This window comes from Homo sapiens, chromosome 3, assembly GCF_000001405.40.
Source record: "Homo sapiens chromosome 3, GRCh38.p14 Primary Assembly".
NCBI classification, from domain to species: Eukaryota; Metazoa; Chordata; class Mammalia; order Primates; family Hominidae; genus Homo; species Homo sapiens.
The window spans coordinates 181367416-181386837 of NC_000003.12; the positions used below are offsets into that span (position 1 = coordinate 181367416).

Genomic DNA, 19422 nt, shown 5'->3' on the forward strand with positions numbered 1-19422 from the left:
GTTTTTACTTATGAATTGTTGCTGAATTTTATCAAATGCCTTTTCTCCATCTAGTTAGATCATATGACTTTTTTCTTTTTTATGCTAATGTAAAGAATTACACCAATCACTGTTTTAATATACCAATCTCAAGTTCCTAGGTAAACTAGTAAGTGCATATTACTGGTTTCAGTTTGCTAGCAATTTGTTTGAAATTCTTATATCTATAGTCATTAGTGTGATTATCTGTAATTTTTTCTCTTAATATCCTTGTTAGATTTTAATATCAAAGTTATTCTGGTCTTGTTAAAGAAGATACAGTATGTTCCCCTTTCTGTAGCCTCTGGAAGAGTTTGAATTTATTTCTTCCTTAAATGTTTGGTTGAATTCACTATTAAATAAAAAGAGTAATATGAAAGAGTATAGGACTATTCAAGTTTTATATTTCCTCTTGTGTTAGTTTTGTAAAGTAATATTGTTAGACATTTTCATTGTCAACATTTTCAAGTTCATTTGGGAAAAAGTTGTTCATGATCTCTTGTAATCTTACAATGTCTATACAATCTGTAGTGATGTTTTGTTTTTATTACTATTTGTGCCTTTTCCTTTTTTCTTCATTAATAGCAATGTACGTATTTGGATTTTACTAATTTTCTCAAAGGAACAATACCTGAATTTCATTGATTTTCTCTATTGTTCAGTTTCAATATCATTGCTTTCTGCTGTTAACTTTATTTCTTCTTCTTTCTATTTTCTTTGGATCTTGTTTTGTTGTCTTCTAATTTTTTGAGATAGATGCATAGTTTATTGATTATGAAATTTTAAAAAATACATACTTCCAACACACTAAAGTTTTTTCCTACATGACTTTTGCTGCATCCTAGATATTTTGATATTTAGTAATTTCATTATTTTATAATAATAATAATAGAGACAGGGTCTCACTGTGTTGCCTAGTCTGGTCTTGAACTCCTGGGCTCAAGCGATTCTCCTGCCTCTGCCTATTATTTTATAATTTTCAATATGTTCTCTTCATTGAATCATGGCTTACTTGAACACGCAAGAATATTCCAGCAACATTTTTTTTTCAATTTCCAACTTAATTACTTTGTAACCACAGATATACTCTATAACTTCAGTTCTTTAAAATTTGTAGAACCTCAATTTGTGGCCAATTATATAATAAATTTTTGTAATGTTCCAATGTACTTGAAAAAATGTGTATTTTTTAGGTTTAAAATATAGCCTTTTATGCATATTAATTAGGTCATTTGCTTTCTGTGTTATTCTACTGTATCCTAATTGATTTTCTGTCTGCTTGCTTAATTGTTATAAAGAGATACATGTTATAATCTTACACTATAATTGTGGGTTTCTCTATCTCTTTTTGCTGTCAATTGTTGCTTTATTTGAAGGCGATTTTATTAGATACATACAAATACAGAATTGTTATCAAATGTCCTTTTAACTTTTTGCTTAAACACCACTTTATATGATATTATGGTTACACTGATTTTTGTTTGGCAAATATTTTACATCCTTTTATGTCTATATATTTTATACATGTCTCTTGTAAACAGAATCATAATTTTAAAATGCAGTTAGTGATGTTTGTCTTTATAGGTTTAGAAATTGGAATACTTAGTCTGTTTATATTTATGTAATTACTGATATGTTTGAACTTAAATCTACCATTCTGTTGTGTCCTTTCTGTTTCCTTACCGCTTTGCTTTTTTCCTCTTTTTTCTAGCCTTTGTTTAGATAGATAATTTTTCAAATTATTCCATATTCCCTCTATTTCCTCAAAAGCTATATACTCTTACTATTCTTTCTGTAGTTAGTCTAGAAATTATAGCATATGCTTTTTACTTATCAAAATCTAATACTAACTGGTTATTTGAAACTCTACCCAGATGATGCAAATAGATAAAAAATATTAGAATAATTTAATTTTATTTATTCCTATTTTAATTTGAATAATTTAATTCCATTTATTCTCCATTTTGAAATAAATATCATTAGTTTGTATTTTATGTATACATATTAAAAACTCAACGAAACACTGTTGTGATTCTTTGCATGGTCAATAATTATTTTGATTTACTCACTTACTAGCTGTTGTGGCCACACGTTAGAAGTGGGATGGCACCTCACCCAAATTTTGGTTTGGAGGTTGAAAGTGATTATGCTACACACATATCAAGAGAATATGAAAAAGTTTATTAGTCTGGGGAGAGCAGGACAGACCTCCCAAATTAGTCCAAAGATATCTTGAGAGATTAGGAAAAGGAGACTGGTTTTTATGGTAATTAGAGAGTAGGTCTGGGATGAGGGTTCTTCTGCATAAGTAGAGGTTTGCATGGTTTAAATATTTCACTGGCATCAAAGGAGGGAGTACCCAGGCTTTTTTATTAGCTTGCTCAGACGTGGAACGGAAGAAGAGGGAGGGAATGAAGCTTAAAAGCTTTCAGCAGTCAAACATCAAAACATGGAGCCAGACGCCTTATTACATTAGTGTTTCCATTGCTTTTCAATTCTTCCTACCTTTCCAGGCTTTCCTGTGGATTGTTTTCCTTCTGCCTAAAGAATATTGTGTAGTATTTATTTTAACATGTCTGTTACTGGGGAATTATCTCATGTGTTAATCTAAAAAGATGTTTTTTTACCATCAATTTCAGAAGATATAAAAATGACAGATGTTTTCTTTAACACTTTGAAGATATCATTTCATTGCTAGGTGAGGTCCTTTGTTTCTGCTGAGCAGTTAACTGTCTGTCTATTGTTGCCCTTTTAAAGATAACGTCTTTCTATGACTGACTTTAAAATTTTTTCTCCATTTTGGGGTTTCCACATTTTTATCATTTAGCATCTCAGTGTAGATTTGTTTTTCAGCTATTCTTCCTGGTATTTGTGTGGTTCTTAAATCTGTAAATCTGTAGCTTGATGTCATTCTCCAGTTTTAGAAAGTTCTCAGCTATTCTCACTTCAAAATTTGTTTCAGCCTGATTATATCTCTCCTCTTTTTCTTCAGCCTTATTTCTCTCTTTTCTTTTTAGAACTCAAAATATTAGAAATTCTCACTGTATCCTCTACATCTTTTACCTTCTTCTCTGTATTTTCTATCATTTTATTTTGACAGATATTGCTGAGAATATTCCAGTTAAGTATCTCCGTAATTGTATATGATCTATTAGACCCATCAATTTAATTTTTAATTTCAGTTCTTGTTTTCAGATTTAGAGTTTCTGTTTACTTTTTTCTTTGCAAAAAAAATTGTTAATCTTGTCTTTTATCTTCTAGAACATGGTAAGCAAATATATTTTATTATATTATATCATATTATTATTATTTTGAGACGGAGTTTCACTCTTGTTGCCCAGGCTGGAGTGCAGTGGCAGAATCCCGGCTCACTGTAACCTTCGCCTCCCAGGTTGAAGTGATTCTCCCACCTCAGCCTCCGATGTAGCTGGAACTACAGGCGCCTACCATCATGCCCAGCTAATTTTTGTATTTTTAGTAGAGATGGGGTTTCACCATGTTGGCCAGGCTGGTCTCCAACTCCTGACCTCAGGTGATCCGCCCGCCTCGGCCTCCCGGAGTGCTGGGATTACAGGCGTGAACCACAAAGTCTTTGTCTAATTATGACAATTTTGGAAGCCCTTATGGAATAATTCTATTGCTGGTGGTTTCTGCTAGGTTTTGCTCATCTTGTCTTGCTCCTCATTGAGCTGTTTAAAAAAGTTGTGCCAAACATTATATTATAGCTTAAAATTGCTTCTAGAAATAATTTGGTGCCCAAGATAATGTTATTTTCCTTCAGAAAGGCATCTGAGGGATTCTGCAAACCATCCAGGGGTACAAGCCCTCCTGAATGCCTGAAGGCTCTAGCAATCTGGCATTATTTTAATTTTACTTCAAGGATTAAGATAATTCAAGACTGAGCTGCAAGAACTTGTCTACTTCCTGTTTACCCTGTTCCTTAAAATATATTCCTTTGTGGTTTTATCCCCAAACAGGAGTGTTTATTATGTCTACTCATCATCTTTCAATAAGATTAGCCCATAATTTACCCTTTCTATATTGCTTTTCCCTTCACACTTGTTTTTAATATAAAAACTGTCTTATTATGTTATATATATAGTACTTTTTTTTTTGTATTTTACTTTGGACTAGAAACATTTCTTAAAACTTGTAAAACCATATGCAGCTTCCAGACCCTAAGCCATCCACTTACTTTGCCACTTTCACTTGAAATTTTGACATTTTTGTTTTGAAAATGTTTTGAAAATTTTGACAAATGTTCTAAATTTAGACAAACAGCCCTATCATATAACCTTCAATCAGAGAACTCTATAGGGTTCTAAATCAATTCCTATATTAAACTTATAGTTAAAAAGAGAAATCAGTAAGAAAAGTACCTAAGAGATTCCAGCCAACTGAAAAACAAGGATAAGAATTATCTGCTCCTAAGTCATATTCTTTGTTTTTGATGCAACCAAGTTGTTTGCTAGATATATATCCTGTTACCTTATTCGCTACCACCTCTGAAAACTGTTGCATCGAAGCCTTGCCCATACCAGTGTTCTATGAATAATTTTGATATTAAAAAGTTTATAGAAGTTGCATCATAAAAAATAAAACAGAAGACAAAGCCAAAAATTGATCATTTGAAAAGATCAGTAAAACAGATATGCCTCTAGGAAGATTAATTAAGAAAAAGCAAAATGAGAAGGGACAGATAAATAAAACATAAGGATTAAAAAGAGGATATAACTATGGATAAAACAGAAATTTAAAAGTAAATAAGAGGATACAGTGAAGAACTTTATTCTAAGAAGTTTGAAGACTTAAGTAAAAGAAGAGAAAATTTAAAATTTTATTTTATTGGAACAGACTCAGAAGGACTGCAGAACTACATAGGTCAATGGCCATACAAAAATTAAATCAACAATCAATAATCTTTAGAAAAAAAAGAGACAGACCTAGGTTGTTAAGTATCTTCTGATGAATTTGTAAGCAACAGACAATTCCAATTTTCTATCCATAGGTTACAAAAATATGAAATGCTCATTAACACATTTTATGAAGCTGGTATAGATTTAATATTGAAAACAATGATAAGGGGTAGAATAATACAAGAAGGGCAAATTATAGGCAGATCTCCCTCAAATATGCTAGGATCCTAAATAAAATATTCTCAAACTATTTCCACCCATATATAAAAGATTAAAAACCATTACCAAGTTAAATATATCCATAAATATAAGGTTAATATAATGCTAGAAAAATATAATATATATAAAAATATATAGTTTGTCATGTTTACAGCATAAAGGAGAAAAAGAAAAAACTACAACAAACATGATGTTTAATGGTGAAATGTTGAAAGCATAAGTAAATCAGAAAAAGAAATTAATACAATACAATAAAAGGCAAGAGGATTGGGAAGCAAGAAACAAAGCTGCTCTTATTTACAGGTGATGTAACTCTTTAAAAATAAATCTGAAACAAACTTTTTGTATTAGTAGGGGATTTTGGAAAGGTTACCAAATATAAGATCAATGCGCAAGAATCTATTCCATTTTTAAATAATTAGAAATTATAATTTTGGCTGGGTTTGGTGGCTCATTCCTGTAATCCCACCACTTTGGGAAGCTGAGGAGGGAGGATCACTTGAGCCCTGGCATTTAAAGCCAGCCTGGGCAACATAGCAAGACCCCATCTCTACAAAAAATAATAAGAAAATTAGCTGGGTATAGTGGCACACACCTGTAGTGCCAGCTACTTGGGAGGCTGAGATGGAAAGATCACTTGAGCCCAAAAGGTGGATGGAGGCTACAGTGAGCTGTGATCACAGCACTGCAATCCAGCCTGGGTGACAGAATGATACTCTGTCTCAAAAAAAAGAAAGAAAGAAATTGTAATTTAAAAATAGGATACAATAAAAGTTAGGTATACAATTGATTTTCAAGTTGAAAAAATAAAATTTAATTTATATCTCACACCATACACATAAATAAATAAATTTTTAGTGGATTAAAGACTTCATAATGAAAAGCAGAATTTTAAAATTCTCATGAGAAAATTTGGTACTATTTTTATGACCTTGATGTAGGCAAGAATTATTTATACAAGATATATAAAAAGCACTAACTACAAAGGAAAATACTGACGGACTTGTCTACATTAAAATTTAAAACTTCTATTCATCAAAAACACCATTTCAAGAGTAGAAGATCAAGCCATATCATAATTTGAAGAATATATTTGGAACACATGCAACGAACAAAAGAATAGTATTGAAAATGTATACATATTTTTAAATGGCTCCTAACAATCAATACAAAAATTACAAATAATTCAATAAAAATATCTGCCAGAGGGATATATAGACATTTCACAGAAGAGGACATATGAATGTCCCACAGACAAAAGCAATATGTGAACAGAGAAAGACAAATATAAGTCTCAGTGAGATACCTACTTGGCTGGCAATTGTGTTGAAGTCTGACAATACCAAGTGCTGTCAAGAGTGTGAAACAATGGGAATCCTTAAATATTCCTGGCTGAAAAAAAAATTGGTATAATTGCAGTATAAAACAAATTCAGCATTATTTAATACATTTTAAGATATGTAAAACTATGTAACTAAAAAATTTTCTTCCTTGCATATATTCTAAAAAACATTTTCATGTGTCCATTGGAAGACATACCTGTTTTTTTCAGCATGATGTAAAATAGCAAAAACCTGGAAACTGCTATAATAGGTAAATTTTCATATATTTATAACAATGGAATACTATAAAGCAGTGATGACTAAACAACATCATACACATTAACACGGATGAAAGTCATGAATAAAATCTTGAACTCTAAAAATGTTACATAATAATACATATTTTATGATTTTTAAATATAAAGTTAAAAAACATGTAAAGCAATATAATATGTTCAGGGACTATGACTGATCATACTGTTTACTCAAAATATTCACTATCCTTTTTACTTTTGTTGTGGGTAGCACTTCCTACAATACTGATGTCCGTCTCAGCCATGTGACTGATTTTGGTCAAGAAAGTGTTAGCAGATGCAATAAATGTCACTTCTGAGAAGAAGCATTAAGAATTATCAGTCACATGGTTCTACTGTCACCCTCCTCTGTCTGCCACAAACATGGTATGTTCTGGTGTAAGGCTACTCTTTTCATCCTAGATTCTGGAAGAGGACATAGGAAATAAAGCTTCAAACAATCCACCACCAACTATGTAATGTGAGCAAGAAATAATTTTTGGTTTTGTAAACAATTGATATTTACATAATTATTACCTCAAAGTCAATGCTACCATAACAAAACTTCTAAAACATGTGCAACTGGCTTTGTGGCAGAGTGGTAGGTAGCAAAGAAACTGATTTTAGAGGATAAAACATGGCAATCTATTATGCAGTGGTGAAACACTTAATGAAACTTTAGCTGCAATAACATGCAAAGCAGATAATATATTGAATGACCGTGTGACTTTAGGTAGGGAGATTGGAAGACAGAATAGTACTAGCATGTCTTGGTTGCTGTTGGCTGCATTCGACATGGTGGTACAGAAAAACTAGGAGCCCACAAAAGAATTGACCAATTTGTAAGAAAAGATGAAAAGAAACTAAAGGAGGTCAGAAAGTTGGGGACCTAGAAGTTTGAAAGATTCAACTTATTCTCACATCCAAAGTAAAACTAAGAATATTTTTGAGTGACAAAAGCTGATTAAAACTCAGTTTGCGGGAGGCATAGACCAAATCCAGGATATCAGGAGTGCCTTTTGTTTAGTTGATTATAGTGGCAACTGGTAAATCTTTTCAGGTGTGCAAAATGGCTCAAAAGAGGCTAATGGTGTAGCTCCTCCACGGAAGTCTGGTAAGCTCAAAAATATCAATTTAAATCTGGAGAAAGAAAGGCATGTCTTAAATGGAATTGAATTTGTTGAGAGGATCATACAACCCAAGGAGCCATCAACCTAGATTGACAGAGACTGTGTCTGTTCTAAGTCTAAAAGCTGGAAGCAAGAAAATCTTAGCCTCCAAGGGACAGTATTTTCCAGTGCCCTTTTCAGATGTGGCCCAGTGAGGATAATAGAAAAGGAAGAACCGCCCAGAGGGTGGAGCCAAGAGTCATCTATAACCATGCACTGTGGTGCTAGTCACAGAGAACAGAATGAGCCTAATCAAGAAGTATTTCTTCTGCCCATGTTAGAGGGCCTTCACAATGTTTGCCCAGTGGGATTTCAGAATTGCTATTTTTGGCACATAGGTTTTAGTTTTAGTTCATTTGTCTCTAGGTGAAGAAGAGCTGTATCTGGACCTGATGTTAAAGCTAGGACAAAATCCTAGTCCTGGAATCTAATGCTGTGGTTGAATACATCCTTTCAGCTATTTACTTGGAAGATGGGGGATTATGTTATTGTGTAGAAGGGCAAGAAATGAATTTTCATGCCCAAGAGAACAGACTATGGTCAATTTTATTATTGCTTCCCACTATTCACCATCATTTCTTGTAAGGGAATTATGCATCCTTGTCCTTTGCCATGTACCTTTATTTTCCTTCTCTGTGATACAGATTCTCCATTGATAAAAGGTTTGACCAATGAAACATGATGTGATGTGTTTCCAACAGAAGTTTTAAGAGCCATCACATGGTTCTGCACTGCTCTTTTTCTTTTACAATGAGACTGAGATAGGGGCTATTCCTTTAGCCTGAGTCTTGGAGTGAGGAAAACACCAAGCAGTAGCAACACTGACCCACAGAGACACAGCCAACCTGCACATAGTATGTACTTGAGAAAGAAATCAGTTATTGGCATATATTGTCACTGTAGCATAACTTAGCAAAAGCAGACTGAGAAAGGAATATGCATAAGTAAGAAAACTGAGAGGAAAAGCAAGGAAATTTTAAACACAAAGTTTGGGATAAGAGTTACCTTTAGTGGAGGGCAGGAGAATACAAGGAGGAACACATGGGATATTTCTTAAGTTTGGTGGTGTGTATGGGTGTTTGTTTTTATCATTCTTTTACTTTGCATATACTTCAGATAGATTGTATTATATATAGTGTATGAGCATGCATGCATGTACAGTCAGCTGTCCATATCCATGGATGGAGAACCTTGGGATATAGAGGGTCGACTGTAAGGAACTTGAGCATCTATGAATTTTGTTATTTGGAAAGTGGTAAGGGGAGGATGAGAGCCCTGGAAGCAATTCCCCCTAGATACCAAGGGATTACTATATGTACATACCTATATATATTACATATATAAAAATATTTCATATGTGTAGATACAATCTATTGTATCCCTTTATAATTATAATATGGAAAAAATATAGCAAACCTATAAAGTAATAAATCTACCAAATACTTTGACCTCTGTTTCTTCCAAAAACCACACTAAAATGACAGTAGAAAGACTAAAACAACATAAAGAGAGGGAAAATGAGAGACGAGAAATAATAAAATTTTAACAGTCCAGAGAAAGCCAGAATGTAGACTGGCTGCTTGGGAAGCCCAGATTCAAGATGATTTAAATCAAATTACTCCAGAAAAACTTGGGAATTGTAGGCACAATGTCTCTCTGAATATTTGTGTTCAGCTAATGCTAAAAACAGGAGAATTAAAAATCCTGTAATTTGCAACTTCTCCCCTCTACCCAAACCCTATCCTCTCCTTCACCTCAAGCAAGCTGTTACAGCTGCTTCTCCACCCTGCAGAAGACTGGAGGTTTAATTCTAAAGATGTTGAACTACAGCACATCGGACAGAGTTGATCACAGAAATATCATTCTGAAAAACAGGGAGATCAAATAACAATTCACAGTGAAAAATGTTCCTCTAGTTTTTAATTTATTGAATGCCAGAATTACTCTGAAAGAACAAGCAAGTAATCCTACAAAGAGAATAAAGTGATTATTCTTCTAGGGCTGTGACAACTCCTAAAATGTGAATATGTGGGCAATCCCCAATTCGGTCATTCAAAAAAAATATTTCTTGAGTGGCTACTACATGGCAAGAACTGCCTTAAGCAGAGAAAAAAATTGTCCCTTACTCGCTCAAGAGGTGAGCATTGGAGAGGATGGGTGGACGTTAAACAAATCTGCACATTTTAATCAATTATGAATATAATAAAAGTGCTCCGTTAGTGAACCAACCATTCTGGTAAATATTTCATATGTAACAAAATATTTAACAACTGCTATTGCATGGATGCCAACCATCAGAATGGACACCAGCTATGAACAGCCTGTCTGGTCATTCCAGTGCCTCCCAGCTAAATAGCATCGTTGAATACAGTAATAGCCTCTCACTCAAAGTTTAGTCATTTCAATTTTATTATTAAAATTGGAAAAATAGAAGACTCCTAGGGAGAATGCTTGTCTAAAAGGCCATACCTGTGACATTAAAAACAGCTAAATTATAATGCCATTCTTGAGGTCAGATGACATGTCATTTTAGTTAAACCCAATTCACTCAACTAATTTACCACACCTGTAGGGTGGATGCAGATGAATACGGAACAGTAGAAATCATCATCAAAACCTGGATTATTAGACGACTGAACAATTCTACAATGCTCATTGTGTTTTACAAAATGTTAAAATTATTATTTTAGGGGGTAGGAATGAGAGTCAGCAGTCAGCAAAATGCCGAATGCAGCTTTTTGAGATGAAAATATTAAGACCAGGAGCTAATACAGAGGTTTTTTTTTTCCCCTCCTTAACTGCAGGATTTGGGGTTTTAAATTTGGATTATGGAAGTGAGGAAGGGTAGGGGTCTTAAAGAGGGTTTAAAGAAATCACCTACAGAGTAGAGGTTTAAAAAGAGTCCTCTGTGTTCTGAATTCTTCGAGGGTATCTATCTTGTACAAAGCAGCTTTTTTCTTTCCTTGCCCTGCTCTTTCTGCCTCCCTCGTGCTCTTTCTCTCCCCTATCCCCCAGTCCAAACTTCAAGGTGACCTCCTCCTCGTGGTGGGTAAATGATGGATGAGAGGGACCACCCGGCTGGGCCTACCACACTGCAAGTGCCACCCGGGTCCTGTAGGGTTCAGTAAGGCCCCCCCATTTAGAACGCTTTGTATTTTTTGTTACAATTGTTCTCCCAGCAATGGATGAAAAACATAGCATGAACAATAGAGCTGTATGAGATTTAAAATATCTGAATACATAATAATTTCACCCAGCTTTCAGAAAAAAACTAAAAAGTAAATAACAAAAACCACTCCTCAGAATGTGTGAACCTAAATTTTCGGTCACTTTGGAAGCATTTTCTTCTTTTTCTGGTTTTTCATTATCTAGGCCACTTGGCAATAAAATAGCATTTAATTATACATAAACGTGAGAACTCTAGTGAGAGAATATGGGTTGTGATCTAGTCAGAACTAGTTTGAGGCCAGAAATTGTTCATTCTCAATGCCGTCATTCTTACCTGCTTTTCCACTGTTTATTTTTTACCTATATTTTCCCATGCAGTTTTTTCTCAATTTTAAAAAATTTTTTGAAGATGGTCTTCATTTTCTATTCCCCTTCATTATTTTCTCTTTCAAAAGTCCCACCTTTACTAAGGTACAAGTCATTCCATTGCAGGAAAAAAAAAAAGAAAAAAAAAAAGAAAACTATTTTGTTCAGAAAATAAGTACCCAAAATTGTTTGTTTGTTTTTTTTTTTTTCTTTAGCAATGTAACTTGTAGTCGCATTAATGAGATCACATTTTATAGTGGAAGGTACTTTTAGGGAAAGTATGATGACATATGTTCCATTTAAACCTGAAGCTTTTCCTGGAAATGTATTGTGGACTTCATTTGAATAAAATGCTTCCGATGAATCTGTTGCTCCTTACAGATTTTGAGAAAGTACCTTGTTCTTCCTGTCAGTGGCAGGCAGCATCTCTTTAATTTTTTTTTCCAATAATATTGCAGTACTCTAGTACTCATTTTAAAGATAGATGGATTTTTTTTTCTCTTGTAAAGAAGAACATTGTGGGGGATAAAACGCTGGATGTGATTTCAAAAAATGTCAAAATATGTCAAACGCAGATACCACTCAAGGGTTTCATTAACTGAAGCTTTGGTGATAAGTGTCATCTTGTCAAAGACCCACCCATCTCTTCCAATACATTACCAAATGTACTAATTTCCTTGCCGAGCTTGATGTTTATTGTATAGCTGAAATTGAAAATGGTCGGTAATGGAGTGAGCTTCAATCCAAGACCAATTCTGAATCTAAATTACTTGCTTCTTTCAATAGCATCGACAGAGGAGAGCTTTATGCACCTTGTACCTAATCAACCCTTACTGTGACCCTAAATTCAGCAGTCTTCAGAGATTAATAATAAAATCCTCAGTTCAAACAATTATTTGCCCTGAACAAGTTGCCCATTTCTTATGCTGAGAATGAAAGAATGTGACATTATTTTTTAAAAGCTCTGCATGTTGTGGGCCACCATTTATTTTTGATCTCTGACCCCCCTGATGCAGTCTGATTGCAAATCCCACATGCTTACTTGAATATTTTTTTGGTGTTGGGGGGGTAGTTGTGAGATTTCTTTGTTAGCATTTTAACGTGCCTGTTCTTCCACATCCCCTAACAGTTGTGGTTTTCATAAAGTAAACAAGATACATTCTATCAATATGTATTTCTAAAGTTTTTAATATAGAGCTCTATAAATCATGGAAAGCATGATCGAATTCTAGTTTTGTACAAAACTACTCAGAGTCTCTAGAAAATAAAAACAAACTCCCTGGAAAAATCAATTATTTATCTACTTTCTCAAATAAAAAATTTAATTCAAAGAATGTCTTATTGAGGCTTAAACCCTAAATGATTTTTTAATGAAATGTTTTCTACTCCATTCCAGTTGGCAGTGTAGCTTATAGTTCTTGAGTGAAGTTATCTAAGCAATATCAAATTCTTTTAGTCATCTTTACAATGAAAAACATTCATTCATATTCAATGCCAGAGCATTTTTTTCTAATTTGGTATCTTCAACTTCCTTATGTCCAATTAGTATTCATTAGTGTAATTATGATGATGGAAAGGCTCAGTCCCTGTTCTTCAAGACATTAGGAAGTTTGGGGAAAGCCTTGAAACAAAATAGTAAAAGAAATATTTGGACATCCCAAATGCTTCTTTGATTCAATACTGTGATTTGATTCATCAGTGAAGGTTGGTTCTATGTCCAGGAGCTTGCTGGGGGAGGGAAGAGACCCATAGTGGCTTGCTGCCCTAGAAACTCTGCCTGCCATTGTCAACATTTCCTCCGGCTGTCTTGCTTTTGGAGGGAAACTCTCCCTAAGGACTGCCCTGGTTGACAGAATGAGAGTCTCCAGAAGATTCTTCTGCCATTTGAATGCATTTTTTTATGCCCAACAGCAATAATGGCCATCTAAGTATTGATTATATAATATGTCTGCTGAGGTGGCAAGTACGTTGTCGTTGCAAGAGGCCGAGAGGATGAGAAACTAGGTTATCTATGAACTCTCTCAGCCATTGAGCATTTCTTCCGGTAAGGGTCAATATACAAAGCTATCTTTAGATGTTATTTTACTTTATTCTCTGATTCCAATTGATGGCTAATACAATGAGATGGCCAGCATGTTTCAAGTTCTTTGAAAACAGCCTCATGTTTACCATGGAATGGGCATAATCATTTCATCACAAGGGGACAATAGTCGTATGGAGGTCTGCGACATGAGGAAGGCTAGGAATTGCCCAGGGTGTTGCCCTATTAGAGTCCCAGATGCTAATTAGCAGCAATGAATTGGTTAAGTAGGCATTGAAAGGCAGTTAGGGCATAATCTAATACTTTTTCTTTCATCCAAAAAAATACAATAGATGATATATAGTAAGTCTGCTGTGTATAGTAACAGCAATAAGGGCACTGAGCTTTTATTATAAACTGAATTACATCCCCTGTGTGGGGACACTAGACAGCCTATCGTGTATTAAGAATTCAGCTGAGATCACAAGCTTGCCTCACCTAAACCTTCTGTGATGTGATGAGAATGACTTTTGGTTACCGTACATCAAAGAGGGTCTAGCAGGCTAAACAGTGATTGATCCATTCTCCTCTTTCAAGTCCTCTCTTCAAAAATAGCTTTAAAGCAATCATCTAATAAGTGTCAGAATAGAAGATAGAAAATGTTAGTACAAGCACTAGGCATATGTCTACACTAGCTAAATTTTCTGCAAGATGTTCAATGACTGAACAAGGTTTTTAGAGTAAATGCTATCATCTCTTAAGAGATGAGAAATACCAAGTGGGCTGCCACTGACATGGAAACAATACAGAGATTTAAAGTGATTTGAGGCAAAAATACCATGATTTGCTCGACTAGTAGAGAATTCTGTTAGGACAATTTTGAAATAATTTTATTTATACACAAAATCTGGTATAGGAATTAGCTTCTTGCTTATGCACACAGAAGCAATAGTATTTTCACAATATTCATTCACAAAAATATGTTTATTAAGTGTGCTTATATAAGATGAAAGCTTAGTTAAAGGAATCAGCCATATGAGTGACCCAGTATGGTGATCATTAGAGCTGTTCACAAATATTCTGATGCTCTTTATCTTCCCTGCTCTCTTTGAAGTCAGGTCTAGTGATATGACTTGCTTTGGACAATGAGATGTGAGACAAAATGACCTGTGTCACTTTGGATGGAAACGTTAAGAGCTAGTGGAAGATTTGCCACGTCCCTGTTCCCCTGTATTGATGACTGTGGGAGCATGTGTCAAGGTGGCACTTCCTTTGGCATGGGTTTCTGAGTCATTAGTATGAGCAGACCTCCCTGCTGGCCTGTACTGATCCCGTAGCGTGAGCAAGAAATGAACCTGTAATGTGTTAAACCACTGAGGTTTTGGAGCTGCTTGTTACCACACCATAACCTTTATTCATCCAGGCAACAAATACTCATAATTACACACTATGTGCCAGGCAGAGTACACAGAGATAACAAATAATTGCTGATCGTGGTTTGATGTGCCACCCTTCGTTACCTGTTTGCTACATCCTTGAGGAGTAGATGAAAAATAAGCCTGCATTAATATAACTAATCAAGATAAATTGATCTAAGATTGTAAGAGGTGACAAATCCATACAGGTCTGCAGCAACCTCAATTCTTGCCTCTTCGAAAAAAAGAATTCAACTGAGGGGCAAAAAGCAGAAGGAGAGACTGAGGCAAGTTTCAGAGCAGGAGTGAAAGTTTATTAAACAACTTTAGAGCTGGAATGAAAGGAAGTAAAGTACACTTGGAAGAGGGCCAAGCAGGCAACTTGAGAAATCAAGTGCACAGTCTGACTTTTTGACCTGGGGTTTTATACGCTGGCATGCTTCTGGGGTCTTGTGTTACTTCTCCCCTGATTCTTCCCTTGGGGTGGACTGTTGACATGTGCAGTGGCCTGTCGGCACTTGGGAGGGCCCACATGCACAGCGTGTTACCTGAAATTGGGCACATGCTCACTTGAGGCATTCCCTTATCAGTTGAGTGTTTCTAGAGTAGGGTCATATACCAGTTAAACTCTGCCATTTTGCCTCTTAGTGAGCATGCTTGTGCCCACTCACCCAACTCTTGAGATCTTATCAGGAAGCTGCTGATCACCAGTTTCAGATTTTTTCTGTCTATTGGAAGACTGCCTTTCCCTGGTACTGGCTGTAATCAATTCTTATTTTAGAGAGACAATTAACAACCACCTGACCATGACCTGATGGTCACCTAATGATTCTGGTTGGGGGTCGGGAGTGGGCACTCCTGCCCTGCTCATGTCTGACTAGCTACGTACTGTAACAAGATTAGTGATGTTTCGACAGTTTTTGAATGAATGACATTGTTTCAGAGGACACTTTATTGGAGAAAAAGAAAGACTCATTTCAAAAGCCCTGAGATTTCTTATACTGGCCAAAAAAAAAAATTCTGTTATTTTTAACTTCTACAATCCAGCCATTCCCCAACCACACTGGGCACTTTCCAGGTATGTGCGCTTGGCTCGGACTGTGCCCTCCACCTCGTACACTCTTCTCAACCCCGTCTCATCCTTCAAAGACCCATTCAAATGCCTTCTCTTCCATGAAATTTTCCTTTCTCTCCCTCTTCACAGCATCAAGTTACATACCTCTACTGAGTGCTTATTTCAGTCTGCGTTGCATTATGATTATTGTTTACATGACATAACTTCCTGCACAAGATGGCCCCCTATCCTCCTAAAGCTTATACATTCATTGTGAGTACAGGCTTTGTTTTATTCTACGTTATGTATCTCCAATCTGACTCTCCTCTCCACAGCTTAATAAATGTTAATTGATGTTTGAATAGATTTGAGAGATTTGTTTGGGTGTAATCATGGATTTCTCAAAACATGTAACTGCCCTGGTTTGGAATATTGAAGAAACAAAGAAACCCTTTCAGCTCTAAGAAGGGGAGTTGTGAAGCTGATACTTTTGGCTACTCCTGGGGGAATTAGTTCTCTCTTGGCCAAGGACCAAAGCCTGCCTCCTGAACACCCATCACACTTAACTAATTTCCATTCTCCCCAGGGACCAAGACAGTAAGACAAAAGAGGAAGGAAGTAGGCATTTCAGAAGAGTAACTCACCCACAAAGAGCCATTTGAAAGGGAGAAATGAGGAGGGGAGTAAGAAGTCAGTGTTAAAAGAAAAAAAGTCACTAAATGAATGCAGATTTTAGATTACATTTCCTTATCCATCTTCTCTGCATCATACCAATAACTTTCTTGACTTGCTAACTTTCCCCAGGACAAGTCCTGTTGCTCAAAGCTTGCTGCCACTGGAGTAGGCATCAGAAACCCCCAGTGTTTGTGTCAAAGATGTTGAGCTATTATGTTCAGTCTCTCTCTTTTCCTTTCTGCTTTTTGCCCTTCCTTACTCCACCCCAGCATCCAGAAGCCAAGACATCAGCTCCTCTCTGAAAGTTTAACCCCATGAGTAATAAATAAGATAGAGAAGCATGTGCTTTTCTCCACCGGTTTATCAGCCATCCTGACCTATTACCTATTCAACACTGTCACTTTCCAGCCTTTCATTTTTCTGTGAGACAGTGAGAAAACCAATGACTTTGCATCAAATAGATGAAGGATTACATCCCAGCTCTTCCACAAACTTTCCTTAAGTACCTCAGAATTTACTTGACTATTTAGCCTCAGTTTCATAATCTTATAAAATAGAGTTGGTTACACCTGTGTAAAACAATTGTTATAAGGATGGGTGGGATAAAACGTAAAGTCTTCGGCACATAGTTGGTGCTTAATGAATCTTACTATTGTTACTAATAAATATTTCTCAAACATATTTCCTCCTCTTCATGATCTTCCTGCTACAATGATCTTATTTGTGTTCTAATTTTCTCATGTCTATATGCAAGACCGCTTAAGTGATCTTTCTAAAACTAGAAATCAGAGCAGGGCATCTTCACACAAAGCCCTGTCATACTTCCAAAACTACAGAAGCCCTTCCAGTTATTCTTAAGGATCTACAGCAACAACAAAAAAAATCTTAACTCAGTGTAGCACATGAGGGCTGCAGCTATCTGGCATCTGTGTCTAATCTCTTTGCCCATTATTCCCTTAATTGTAACTGTAAGAGATTGTTTTTCTAACAACTTCCAATGAATCACACCTTCCAGGCTCCCCATGCTGTTGCAGTTCCCTCCCACACTGAGGCTGAGCTTGGCCATGTGACTTGCTTGGCCACTAGGACATCAGCACATGTGACACAATCAGAGGCTTGAGAAATGCTTACACATTGGGGCTTGCCCTCTTGAAACTCTGTTGGCACCATGTGAAGAAGTGCAGCCTGGTCCAGCCTCCATGAATATGCTCTTAAAGAGAGATGCCCAGCCATCCCAGATGTCCCAGCTGAGCCTAGTCTCAGCCAATCTCCTAGCTGAATGCAGCTGCATGAGTGTACCCAGGCAAAGCTAGAATGAAAATTGTCCAGCCAACTCACCCAATAGTGAGAAATATTAAAAGCGTTGTTTTAAGCTGTTATGTAGTTTGTTACACCGAAATGGATAACTGATATAGTGCCTTTTATCTCCAAAATAATGAGCAACTATAGTTCTATGAAAACATCATTTTCTGTCACACCTCACATTCCTTTGCAAATACTGTTTCTTGTGCGTGTAATGTCTTTCCCCCTTGTCTATTACCCTTTGTATCCCAGCATATGCAGCAGGGGCTGGCATACAGTAAGTGTTCAATAAACGTTGAATGAATACATTTTAAAAGTCAAAACATGCCACAAAACCTCCAAGGATGCACACTAAATCCACCATTGTTCTGATTGAAATTTTAGATAGAAATGCATGCATGTTACTACTTTTATGATGGAAAATAATGATTTATACGCAACTACACACACGTAATAAAAGCTACAAAAGAAAATGCATTCACTTCAAAATAGATTTAGGTTTTAATAAAAATAAAATACGTCCATTCACATACTAAATTAGCAACTTAAAAATTATAATATCTAATGCTAGCAGAGGTGCTATAGAGTAGCTTTGTGATGTCACTAGAGAAAATCAGAATAAAATTTGGGAGATGAATTCTGGTATATGTATTAAGAGCCATAAAAAAACACAGCTTTCCTTTGATCTGGTAATTTCCTTTCTGGCAGCTTAATTCATTTTTTAAAATTCAAAATATAGAAAAATAGTCACAAGAACATTGAATAAGAGACTATTTGTTTTGAAAAAGTGGAAACAAGTTAAATTCCCATCACCAAGAACATGGTTCAATCAGTTTTGATGCATTTATTTGGGTGGCCATTTAAACTAATAGCTATGAAGACTGTCTTGAAATATACAGAAAAACCAATGTTAAGGGACAAAGACAAGGACGCATAATTGTATGCATCCAATGACTACAACAATATAAAAATGTAAATGTAACAATAATTACAAGGAATTATGGGTCATTTCCCTCCTCTCATTCTATATAATCTCATTATATTATTTTTAGAATTTAAATAACATTTTTAGAAGATAAAAATAAATGACATATAGAATACAATATAAAAATGATAGAATTATAGAAACAACTTTGATACTGGCTTTCAATCTAATTTTTTACCTGAGATTGACCCCTGGTAGTAATTGCTATTACATTACAGAATCCAGGAATCATGGTGCTCCATCATCTGGTCTGTGCCATCTCTTTAATCAATATTTATGAACTTACTTTGCAAAGGTTTTATGACTCATTGTACCTTATAGAAGTTTTTTTTAAGAAAGTAATTTTGTCAACATTATTGATACTCATGCACGAGCCTTTTGCATAGGGCGTTAGCTATTTATATTGAGAACAATTTCTCATGATGGCGGTGAAGCTCTATTTTAGGATGGATTTACATATTTTATTTAAAGAACTGCAGCCTGGAGATGAATTTCATCTG

At 35.4% G+C, this 19422-nt stretch overlaps 1 long non-coding RNA gene across 3 annotated transcripts in view, besides 2 other annotated features; it reads left to right on the forward strand.

Moving 5' to 3' along the window:
* SOX2-OT (SOX2 overlapping transcript) overlaps positions 1 to 19422 on the forward strand; it is a 685549-nt gene that overhangs the window by 310736 nt on the left and 355391 nt on the right. The gene's annotated exons all lie outside the window — the stretch shown is intronic.
* Positions 17265 to 17765: an enhancer, noted in NCBI's record as "H3K4me1 hESC enhancer chr3:181102468-181102968 (GRCh37/hg19 assembly coordinates)". NCBI's record gives its function as "activates a minimal SCP1, AML or CMV promoter by ChIP-STARR-seq in primed H9 embryonic stem cells {active_cell/tissue: H9 hESC(primed)}" and the evidence as "EXISTENCE:reporter gene assay evidence [ECO:0000049][PMID:30033119]".
* Positions 17766 to 18266: an enhancer, noted in NCBI's record as "H3K4me1 hESC enhancer chr3:181102969-181103469 (GRCh37/hg19 assembly coordinates)". NCBI's record gives its function as "activates a minimal SCP1, AML or CMV promoter by ChIP-STARR-seq in primed H9 embryonic stem cells {active_cell/tissue: H9 hESC(primed)}" and the evidence as "EXISTENCE:reporter gene assay evidence [ECO:0000049][PMID:30033119]".